Raw genomic sequence first — 12,202 nt, 5'->3', positions numbered from 1 at the left:
TTTTTATCTTAAAAATCTCAGTTATATTCTCTTGAAATTTTACTTCCTTTATTGGATAACAGCTCCTGTGATTACATACAATTTTGTCCCATAGAATGGTATAATAAACTCTCGTTTTAGTATATTTGATGTATATCTTACTATTTAGGTTAACATATAATTTGCTGTGTATTCTAATTTTGAATATTTTTCAATATTTACATATTAACCAAATTTTTCTATTCTGCATTTGAAAATATTCTGTGTATTATTCTGAATGTAATATCCTGTGCCCTAAGGAAGAGATACTGAAAGGTATCCTGGTGTCATTCTTCGTAGAAAACATCCGTTTCGTTCCAATACTCAGAATGTAGTTGGAAAAGAGAAGTGAGTGAATCCAAACGTTAGTGCTTATAAGTCAGAGGCTTACCTCATCACATTGCTCTGAGGACTAAATCAGGTCTTACAGGATGTATTAGAATGGAAAGATGTAATGGTCAGTGTGGAGCCAGTATAGATCATAAATAGTATAAATTGTATAGTAAAAGACACAATAGTTTTGCCTTGAAGATGGCAGAGGTAGGAGGTTAACCAATGGAAGCAATGACATGCCACAAGGAAAAGAGCAGCTGGATTTTTTTTTTAAGAACAAATAGCCAGGAAAAAAAAAAGAAAGACAAAAAATGTGTGTTCTTGAGAGTTACAGTAACAAAATTGCAAATGGCAATAAGAAGTAAACAGTGTAAGCTAATGATACACATAATTGTGCAGGAGCCTAGAAAAGGCCATGTAAAATTGGCAGCAGCCACAAGGCCAACTGTAGCAGCAGCTGAGAAATATTTATAATAATGATTGGAAAACTTACTGTAATTTTTGTGGTCATGTTTAGCAAAGTAAAAGTCATTACCAGAAGTCTAATAAAGAATTGTTTTTAACTTGTGAAATCATTTATACGAACAGTCTTGCAAATAGTTTAAGAAATTTTGTTAAGTAATTTATAAAATTACATAAAATTGAGTAGGCCACAATGGTCCCCACTGTATGATTAGTTTAATTATAGCAGCAGGACATTGAGAATCTGCAAAGGAAATCTTTCTGACACTGAGTTAATGGATGAGCATATTCATCATCCAGTGATAGAATAAGGAATTACATTACAGACATAAATGGAACTTGGTCCCAAACAAGGAATTTTTTATTAAAAATAGCAATTAGTAGTGGTTTCCTTTGCAGTATTTTGAAAAATTAAGTCTTGCATAAGTTTAGGGAATAAACAAATCCAGAATGAAAAAATGCCATTAGTATTGTAAAAGCATATGAAAATTAAGTTTTGAGAAGCTAATTTTAAACCACCTCCTTACCAGAGCTCTTACACCGTTGAGTAAAATCTGGTATTCATATTGTTAGATAACGTCCATTCACTCACACATTTTAAAGTTGATTAAATGGACCCAATTAAAAAGAAAAAAAAAACTCCTAAAACCTGTCAAAAATTATATCAGTGTCCTCATGACTCACCCTAATGGAATTAAATTTTTTAAAAATCCAAACACCTAGATAATCTGTACATACATTTAAGTATTATTACATGAAGTAGACAGTAACTTGTTTCCATTTCTATGCCAGTGAAAAGGAACTTAAACAAATACAATATATTTTTCAAAAAGAGTTTTACTGTCACATTGAATGAAATTGACTTTAAGCCGTAAGATCCCTAAATGAGGTAACAACTAATAAGAATAAATTCAGTATTTAAAAAAATTAAATGTACATATTATTAGATAAATAATAGATAATTTAATATGGTTATGTACAGTAAATAAAATATTCTAAGAGAATTCATAGCTCTTTTACATACTGACATTCCCAGTATTTGACTAACAATTTGGTGGAATAAGTATTCACTTCAGTGGATTATTAGGTTGGTGCAAAAGAGATTGCAGTTTTTGCATTGTTGGAATTTGCCACTTGATATTGGAATGCATTCTTATTTAAATGTGGTTATGTTATACTTCATTTTAATGGGCATTTCTCACTTTACGTTTTTGCTAATGACTTATTACTTGCTGTTTATTTTATATTTATTGTAGACTATGGAAACGATGTTAGACAAAAAGCAAATTCAAGTGATTTTCTTATTCGAGTTCAAAATAGGACATAAGGTAGTGGAGACAACTTGCAATGTCCGCAATGCTTTTGGCCCAGGAACTGCTAATGAACATATAATGCAGTGGTGGTTCAAGGAGTTTTGCAAAGGAGACGAGAACCTTGAAGATGAGGAGTGTAGTGGCCGGCCATTGGAAGTTGACAATGACTAACTGAGACCAATCATCGAAGCTGATCCTCTTACAACTACACAAGAAGTTGCCTGAGGACTCAACATTGATCATTCTGTGGTCATTTGGCATTTGAAGCAAATTGGAAAGGAGAAAAAGCTCAATAATTGGGTGCCTCATGAGCTGAGAGACAATTTTAAAAATCTGCATTTTGAAGTGTTGTCATCTCTTATTCCACAAAACAATGAAAAGTTTCTTGATTGGATTGTGATGCGTGACAGAACATTGATTTTATACGACAACTAATGATGACCAGCTCAGTGACTGGACTGAGAAGAAGCTCCAAAGCACTTCTCAAAGCCAAACTTGCACCAAAAAAAGGTTATGGTCACTGTTCAGCGGTCTGCTGCCAGTCTGATCCACTACAGCTTTCTGAATCCCAGTGAAACCATTACAGCAAATCCATGAGCTGCACTGAAAATTGCAATGCCTGCAGCTGGCATTGGTCAACAGAAAGACCCTAATTCTTCTCCACAAAGCCTGATTGCATGTCACACAGCCAATGCTTCAAAAGTTGAATGAACTGGGCTGTGAAGTTTTGCCTCATCTGCTATATCCACCTGACCTCTCGTCAACCAACCACCACTTCTTCAAGCATCTCAATAACTTTTTGCAGGGAAAACGCTTCCACAACCAGCAGAGTGCAGAAAATGCTTTCCAAGAGTTCATTAAATCCCGAAGCATGGATTTTTATGCCATAGGAATAAACAAACTTATTTCTCATTGGCAAAAATGTGTTGATTGTAATGGTTCCTATTTTGATTAAAAAAGATGTGTTTGAGCCTATTATAATGATTTAAATTTCATGGTTCGAAACCACAATTATGTTTGCACCACAACCTAGTATTCAAACACATATCTAACTCTGTCTTCTTAGTATAGTATCAAGGCCAGAGTGTCCACTATTAAACATTTATTTATCATGAATTTAAAAGTTTCAATCTCTAAAATTTTCCCAATTAAAATACAAGTATAATTTAAATGTGAAAATCTTTGTCATCCCTTAACCCATTAGATTTATTAGAAAATAATCAATGAGTTAAGGAATGAAGGACACATATACTAGGAAATTTCTGAAAGAAAAAAATATACAGAGGAAGCAAAGTGTGACTATGCACATTTATCTGCTAAATTATTTGGTCAAAAACTTACGTGTTTTTAGACATCTCCAACTTAGTTAACAAAAATTGTGTGTGTGTGTGTGTGTGTGTGTGTGTGTGTGTGTTTTTAGGGAAGAGTCCAAAATGTGGTGGAGGGAAAACACAGGGTGTGAGGCTTTGAAGAAACTTTATTTTCTGTTACCTATCCTGGGGCAATATGTACTTTTCCTGAATGAGAATTTTATGTTTTTAAATATAAATGTCTTATTCTAAAACAACAACAACAACAAAAGCATTTGATATAGCATATTTAAAGTGGTAGGAAAAAACTGGAGGAAACACAATTGGAATAATTCTGTATATTGTTACTATGAATACCTAGGATTTAAAGTATATTTTAAAAACGTATAAGACCATAAAATAGACATTTCGAAGGCAGATTCCAGTCCTGACCTGTCATGTTTTCTCTGGCAATAGCATGTCAATTCATTTTGCCCTTGGATTCATCTGTTTAAGTTGTATAAGGAGGAATAGAAGAGAAAATAATGCATTAAATAGAGCAGGAAACAGTATAATTTCACATGGCCAATTTCTGTGTTCTGCTCAGCTCACTTATTTGGAGGACACAGTTACTAATCCTATTTCATCCATTGCCTTGCAATATTTACACTATGTCTAAAAACAGCTGGCTCAATTTTCCTGACATATTTCCTGATTTCATTTCTTTCTGTCTGTTTTTATACCATCTTAAAATTTACCCCCAAGGTGGATAGACATTTTGACTTATTTAGGGCTAGTCAAGACTGAAAGAGGCAAATTTTCACTCTGTAGCCCACCTGTGGCTTTTGCTCTCAATTCTGGTTGATGTCTGAGATTCAAGCCTTAAAAATGGATTCTAGGCAACAAGAATGACTTAACTTCTTTGTGAGGCCTCATTATCCTAACACAATGAAAGTCCTTGTTCCAAGGAGCAGGTTTAACAGTGACATTTTAATACAATGTAATAAAGTGATATGTGTATTACTTAAGACATCTTAAGTTGCAAATAACAGAAAATAAACTCAACCTAGCTTAATAAAAAATGATTATATTGGCTTAGAGTATATTCCTCAATTATTTAAATTAATACATATACACACACATACTTATATTTATATTTAACAAATATAGATAAGAAAGACACTAATGGAGGTTGACTTCAAAGAACAGCAAGGAGAATCTTAAACTCTACCTTTCTTATCTCTGCTTCACTTTGAATATTGTTCCATCACTTTGTACTGCAGATTCATTTTGTTCACAAGGCCAGAAACATAGTTAACCAGAGTTAGTGCATTCCTAAGACTGACATTCAAAGAAAACGTTATTTTCTTTCTCTCTTCCTTTTTCTTTCTTTCTTTTCCTTCCTTCCTTCCATCTTTCCTTCCTTCCATCTTTCCTTCCTTCCTTCCTTCCTTCCATCTTTCCTTCCTTCCATCTTTCCTTCCTTCCTTCCTTCCTTCCATATTTCCTTCCTTCCTCTCTTTCTCTCTCTCTTTCTCTCACTTTCTTTTTTTCTTTCTTCTTTTTTTTTTGGCCTAGCCTGGGCCAATCAAATATGAAGGATTAATTTGTGGAAGAAAACAACAACTTCAGTACAAACAATAAAGAATAGGTAGCCAAAAGATAATGCCAAGAAGGATGATTTGCTTTCTGCAAAAAGGGGCAATTTTGGAGAGAGAAACAAGAGAGATTTATTGATATTTTTCAAGTAAGGAATAGGAAACCTTAGCCCCATAGTAGTTGGCCAACATTATAAAATAATTTTGCTGAAAGGAATTATAAAACATGCATATAAAAGTTTAACTTCCCTTAAAATTTGAGAATGGAGTCAAAATGTACGGGGATATATATTTATGACCAGATTTATGAAAAGACAGTTTCAATACAGATATCATAACATTTTAATATTATACATATATAGTGGATCAAATATTGCTTGTATTCTTCAAGTTTTAACTAGGAATATGCAATCACTCAATGAATGCAAAGCACAGAAAACTTAATGAATAGGATTGGTTGTACTGGCGATGGAAAAGCTCAGCAAGAAAATAAAAACAGTGAGATAATGCAAATATCAGCAACCATGGGGAGTGGCCAATTCATTTTAGCTAGAGCTAAAAAGGAAAGAGGCCATCCCATTCTGCTAAGAGGTTTGTCTGCAATAGCCGGATTTAGGCAATCCTGTTTAGTGGGCGTCAGACCACAGAGAACATGTAAGCATTTCTAGAGAGGTCACTCTGGCAGAGTGCTAGAAATGTGCAGGAAGAAGAAGAAATAACTCTGCTGCTTCTTTTCTTTCATTCTCCTGTCTCCCACCAAGGCCTCCCATTGGCCAACTCCAGTCAGATGTTTCCTGACTTGAGAGCTTGGGAAATAAACCCATACGGTCAGGAACCCTATCATATAAGCAGAGAAAGCAATAGTGGGTAATGGGTCTTACGAGACTGCGTTTCTGCTCTCCTTATCAGGCTGGGTAGTTTGTGATTAAATGGCTTTACTACTTGTTTTGTTTTTCATATAGCTCGTTTTTATTGAGATCTGACTAACTTTGTAACACTACCCTAGGTATTGTTAATTTTTTTTGGACTTCTGTGCAAATGAAATCTAGTTTCTAAATGTTGTAAATATTGAAACAGTCAAGTTATATAAATCCGCTTTAGATTTGTTCAAATTATATTTATTTTCAGTATTTGCATCATATTATTATTTCAGAAAAAGCAGTTGTCCTTGGTATACTTAAGATTCTAGAAGTTTACAATGGCAGCAATACAAAAAATAAACAGACTGAATGTGTACAAGACATAAAGACTTGTACTGAAAGGCAACATACAAAGAAATGGGTACTGAAAACATGACAGTCCTTGAGGATAGTAGAAGGATCCAAACAGCAACCCTGTTGTATTTGATGATATTTGTTTCCTCTGCCTGGGGCTGAATAATTTTCCTGCTGATGTGTTCAGTGAAAAAGACAACAATAATCTTTCCAGGATTTTCTCATTTATAATACAGAATGTTTGCTTACCAGTTATTTCCTATCTAAATTGCTCTGATATGAGAAATGCATGTCACAGCAATCATTTTGCTTTAAACATAGGTTCAATTTAATCTCTGTCCTACTTTTCAGCAAAATATTTTGTACTAACCTTGGTTGCTTAATGAGGCAAGGATCTGTTCCTTTTCTTTCTTGTCTTATATTTTTGTTATTTATTTATTTATTTTTTACTTCATGGAGGACCAATGACCAGCAATAGTGAAAGCCTTTTCTTTTTCACATTTTGAAAAGTGCAAGCACTTTGTCCTCCTGAGCTGAGGCAAAGATCTTTCTGAACTGGGGAAAGCAGCCATTTGCATTTTCCTAATAAAGTTTTCTTAATACCTCAGTTTCCCATTGCCTTCCAGAGACATCTAGATGCTGTTCTAAAGAAAAGTACTCTCTTCCTTTTAACCTGCCCACCTCCCTATCTCTTCACCATGTTTTATTTCTTCATAGAGCTTAATACTATCTACTTTATCTTGTTCATTTGCTTATGTTCCATTTCTATCTTGTCGCACTGAATGTGAGCTCCTTGAGGGCAGGAAATTTTTCTTGTTTATTCATGCTGTCTCCAAGGCCTAAAATAGTGTCTAACACATTCCATGTGCTTTTTAAATATTTGTTGATTGGGTGATGAGAAAATTAACATACATGTGATTTGTTAGTTCCACATATAGCAAGAGCTAGACATTAATCTTTCATTTAACTCCTTTAACATTCAGAAACTACATATTCTACTACTTATTCTTAAAAATAAGGACTTGGTTTCAATCAATTGCATAATGTAAGCAGGAACAAGCATAGTGACTGACATATAATGTAATGGGTATTCATCAGATGCTTACTGAATGAGAGAACGCATGAATGAGTAACAACCTACTAAGCCACTTCCAAACATTCATTGATTCAATGATTGATTTATTCAGCAAATATTAGAATGAACACTATGAGCCCGCAAGTGCCTAGAAACAAGGGCTACATCAATTAATAAAATACATTATCTGTTCTTATGTATCTTACAAATAGGCTTTCGAAGAAAAAACAGCAACTAGATTTTTTAATAATATCATAATTGTCCTATGAATTGATGAGCAAATGGTAGTAGTTCATGGGCATTTTAACCTCTGCATTTTAACCTCTGCTGGGAGGTATGAGAATGTATTTAAACCTTGGTCAGAGGTCTCAAATCTTGAGGCCAAAGACTTTGGCAGCCTGTTGAGCAGCCATTATCTTTTGGGTAAATGTTTTCCTAAGTGAAACATGACTAGCCAGTTAGAGCGTTGTTTCTCAGATTGTGGATCATGATCCCTTCAGTAAGTTGTAAATCCATTTTATTTTATTTTGATCAGCCCTTTTAGGTGAAATAATAAGAAATACTAGAATAAAACAGAACAGAATAGAAAATTTAGAGTGCTTACACTTGACAATTCAATTGACAAATTCACTTGCCAAGAGTTAGTATTGTTTTATGAATCCTGTATTAAATGTGTGTGTATGTGTGTTTTATCCTGGCTTATTAGGGTATACATTATATTTATTGTAGGCTGAAGATAGAAACAAAACAGATTGAAAGTTATTAGGTGCTAAAGAAACAAGAACAGAGTCCAGACTGTAGGATAAAGAATGTGGAGGAAAGTAAAGGAGGGCACAGGGAGGGATTGCTGAACATGGGGGTGGCTCTGGCTTGAGTAAGTCTCTCATCCACCAAGCACACACAAAATCTAAATGCAAGGAAGTGAGGCAGAGATGATGAAAAGGCAGCTAGTCCTATGAATGAGGGAAACAAGATGATACCTAAATGTATTATGTGTGTGTGGGCAAGTGTACAATCAAGGTGATAGACTGAGGTGTGGGGAAACACGTCCATCTCCAGAGTAGCCAGTTTACAAAGGAGTAATAAAGGATGGGTAACTATCTGTATAAGGTAGGGTCTATGAGGATATTCAGGCCTTGCTCTAGACAAGGTGAATCTGTCATGGGATCCTTAGGGTGTTACTTCACCAGCCAGCAACTTCTGTGGCCACCGGTGGCTCTGCTTGGGTTTTGCTTGCACCTGCTGGGCTTGTTCTGACGACCTGGCCCGGCAGGCTGCACTCGGCTCATGCTACCAGCCTTGATCCCGTGCCTGCCAAGGGCGAGCCAGGTGCAGAGGGGTGAGGTATGTGTGAGCGAGTGAGCGCAGGATCCGGCCACTGTGCACAGCCGGGTACGTCGGCTGTGGCAGGGCAGGCAGCTCCACGCATCGGCACAGGTGCCTGCACCATGCGAGGCTGCAGCTGGACCAGCTGTACACAGCTTCTACTGCAGGCACACACATCTCTACGAGAGGACCGCGGTGGCATCTTGAAGCCTGGAGATGCCAGGAACCACAGAGTCCCAAAGAGGGTGTCACAGCCTTGGCTCAAGGAGCCCCTGGGTCTGGGCTCCCCAAAGGTCCCCAGCTCTTCTCTCCTTCTCGTCACCCGCAACATGGCAAGTGGCGGAGCATGTTTCAGCCCTGTTTGTGTTACAGCTCTTTCAGTCCCGCCATTCAGTGGGTTCCAAGTTCTTGTGCCGCATCCAGGAACAATGAGGTTTGCAGACAACTGGAGGTTGAGCATGGCAGAGAGTACCTTCACTGAGCAACAGAACAGTTCTCAGGAGACCTGCAGTGGGTAGCTCCTTTCCATAGGCAGGTCGTCCTGGTGAGAGTCTAGCTCTCAGTGGAGAGGAGATCTACAGTGGGTAGCTCCTTTCCATAGGCAGGTTGTCCTGGTGAGAGTCTAGCTCTCAGTGGAGAGGAGACCTACAGTGGGTAGCTCCTTTCCACAGGCAGGTTGTCCCAACGTCTGTGTGAATCTAGATGAGTCTGCGGTCTTTATAAGCTCTGGAAGGAAGAAGTGTGTGCTGATTGGTCCGTGGGTGTCCTTGGGCAGGCCTGGAAAAAGCACCTTGAGTTTTCACTCCGGACTTCAACTCCCCGACCCAGAACTGGCAACCCTGCCCCCAGGCTTTAGGCAGTCACCTTCCTGGCTTGAAGATGGCATTTCACCAGGGACCTGTCCCTTTCTGACCAAAAACCTGTCTGCTCCCTGCCATCAACATGCTGTCCATGGTGCCCATGCTGTTAGTGCCAAGGGGTGCCTGCAGGCCCACACGAAGCTGCATTCAGCCGCCAACCTCTGTCTCCCTTCCATGATCACGGGTGCCCAAAGTTCGGAGGGGGTGGAGGAGGCAGGGGGGCTGGTATGTCAGCGCCGCCACAAGTGCACGGACAGCTGGCTGGATCACAACAGCACCCGGGCTTGGCCACAACTTTGCTCTGCACCGAAGCAAATGCCAGGAGCCAGGAGAGGTCAGACAGTGGGAACAGGCACTTCTGAGCCTGCAGGAGCAGGGGCTGCCCAAGCCTCCGAGAGGGCAGGGATGCCAGGTCCAGAGCTGTGGTTGGGAAGCTGCAGCTGTGCCTGGGAGCACGGGGCTCCCACCTTGCGAACTCAGTAGGGGGCGGGGCTCCTTGCTGTTCTCAGCTCCCAACGCCCGGCAGACCGCATAACCCCAGTCACACATCTTCCTGCTGCAGCCAGCGTCTTCACAGTGGCTGCTGTAGACAGGCCACCGCTGCCATCAAATCTGAGTGTCAATTATCTAAAAACAGGAGACGGATGATAGAATAAGCTGGCATAGAAACCTTATTAGAAAAAAAGCAAAGCAAAGTTCTACCATATTTGTTTTGAAATGGAGGTTAAGAATTGTCAATGGGTGGCAATCGACTCAGAAACTGGTTGGCAGGGAAGATCTGGGCTTTCTACCTTTGTAGAAAAGGTTTCTCTGTGTATTTCATTTAGAATGGCTGGATAATCCCGAGAAGCTCGAAACAAGTTTGGGACTGGCAATTCACAAATTGTTACCAAGTAATTCACTAACACTGCAAGTGAAAACAAGAATGCTGACTTACCTACCTCCAGGACTTCCAAGAGCATCAGATGATATAACATATGTACAAAGAACTGGTTGTTTTAGGAGTAGATATTGACATTATTATTATTGCTTTTTCCCTTTGTTTGGATGATGGGTGAGCTGGCATACAGCAAAGATTGGGTAAATAGCAGTAGGAGATTATAAAGCTCTAATTTGAGACAAGATGATAGAGTGGAAAGCTTGCAGTAGAACAAGCTTTCAGCACTAAAACTGTGTTAGAAGGAACAATAATAATGGTAACATCAGAGGAAGAGAACATTTAATTGAAGGAAATTCTTTGTTATTTTTTGGTAAGTGCTTCAGGTCCTTGACAAAAAGTATAGATAAGTGATCTGTGGGAATATTTTTTGTATTTTGGGAATAAATTATAATTCACTATCTTTATATCAGTCTAAATTCATCAACTCAGTTTCTTGGCTTTTCTAAGCTTGGTTACTTTCACATTAATTTTATAATTTTTATATTGTATCATTATCATCATTTAGAAAGTGAAAAAATATTTTTCTATGAAATATATTATTTTCTTATATATTTTTTCTTTTAAGTACTCAAGAGAGAATACTGGCAATTGTTTTAGTCAGTCTGGACTGCTATAACAGAATATCATAGACTGGATGGCTTATAAACAACAGAAATTTATTTCTCATAGTTCTGAAGGCTGGAAGTCTGAGGTCAGAGTGCCAGCAAGCTCTGGTTCTGATGAGGGATCTCTTCCAGGTTGCAAACTGCCGAATTCTTATTCCTCACATTGCAGAAAAAGGGCAAGAGACCTTTCTGAGTTGTCTTTTTTAAGGGCATTAATCTGTTTCATGAGGGCTCCTCTGTCATGACCTAATTACCTCCCAAAGGCCCCATCCTCCAGCATCAATCCCTTGGCGGGTTAGGATTTCAAGATATGAATTTTGGGAGAGACACAAGCATTCAGTTCATGACAGCAACGGTAGTGTTTATTTTGAAGTTTCCTTACCACATGCAGAAACAACTTTTAGCCTCACAGAAGATGGAGTGACTTTTCTTAAAAACTTATGATGTGCTTTATCTTAAAAGTGGTGTCAGTGTCTATGTAAAGATCCAGGTGAAGAGCCTCTTGTAACCTGTGATTTGAATGTTGGTAATGCACCAGCACGTACTAGTAAAAACATAAAACTCTGAATTTGTCCTTGTCTTTCTTTAAGCTATCTTAGGATGGGCATATCATTTAGTCATCTTTTTAATTATATGCCCTGCCTAAGGGAATTAGTTGCAATTAATAAATACCTGTTAAATTGAATTACATGGATGTGGCAAAACAGTCTTAGTAGGACTTCATAGGTTTATTAGGACTAAAGTAGGTTTTAAAATTTGTAGTTTTCTTCTAAAGAAATCAAAATCAGAATAATACTTTTCGATATTTATGCTTAATAAATAAAACCTTGGCCTCCTTGGTTCACATTCCATAGACATTAATAAAATACTTTTAAACTAAAAGTTGGACCACAAAGCCAGGCTCCATTTATCAAGTAAATATTTGGCAAGTATGACTTTCACCCATGCAGAGATTAACACCGACCTTTTTACCGTGCTAATTCTTTCAATTCTAGTTGATGTGCTGCCAAAGGTAGCTAAACTCTACATCCAGTTGGACAAATTTTATTATAGTTGGAATAAATTACATTAAAATAGTCCTTTACTATTATCTACAAAGTAATAGAACAACAATGACAACAACAACAGCAACAAAAACTCATAGTTTCATCTTCTAAATTTGAAGTTAG

At 37.7% G+C, this 12,202-nt stretch overlaps 1 long non-coding RNA gene across 1 annotated transcript in view, besides 1 other annotated feature; it reads left to right on the top strand.

Moving 5' to 3' along the window:
• LOC105370241 (uncharacterized) overlaps positions 1-12,202 on the top strand; it is a 30,064-nt gene that overhangs the window by 12,644 nt on the left and 5,218 nt on the right. The window lies entirely within an intron of this gene.
• Positions 9,776-10,295: an enhancer, noted in NCBI's record as "H3K4me1 hESC enhancer chr13:66417145-66417664 (GRCh37/hg19 assembly coordinates)". NCBI's record gives its function as "activates a minimal SCP1, AML or CMV promoter by ChIP-STARR-seq in primed H9 embryonic stem cells {active_cell/tissue: H9 hESC(primed)}" and the evidence as "EXISTENCE:reporter gene assay evidence [ECO:0000049][PMID:30033119]".

This window comes from Homo sapiens, chromosome 13 (genome assembly GCF_000001405.40).
Source record: "Homo sapiens chromosome 13, GRCh38.p14 Primary Assembly".
NCBI lineage: Eukaryota > Metazoa > Chordata > Mammalia > Primates > Hominidae > Homo > Homo sapiens.
The sequence above is the reverse complement of the archived record's forward strand: the minus strand, read 5'-3'. Positions and strand labels throughout refer to the sequence as shown.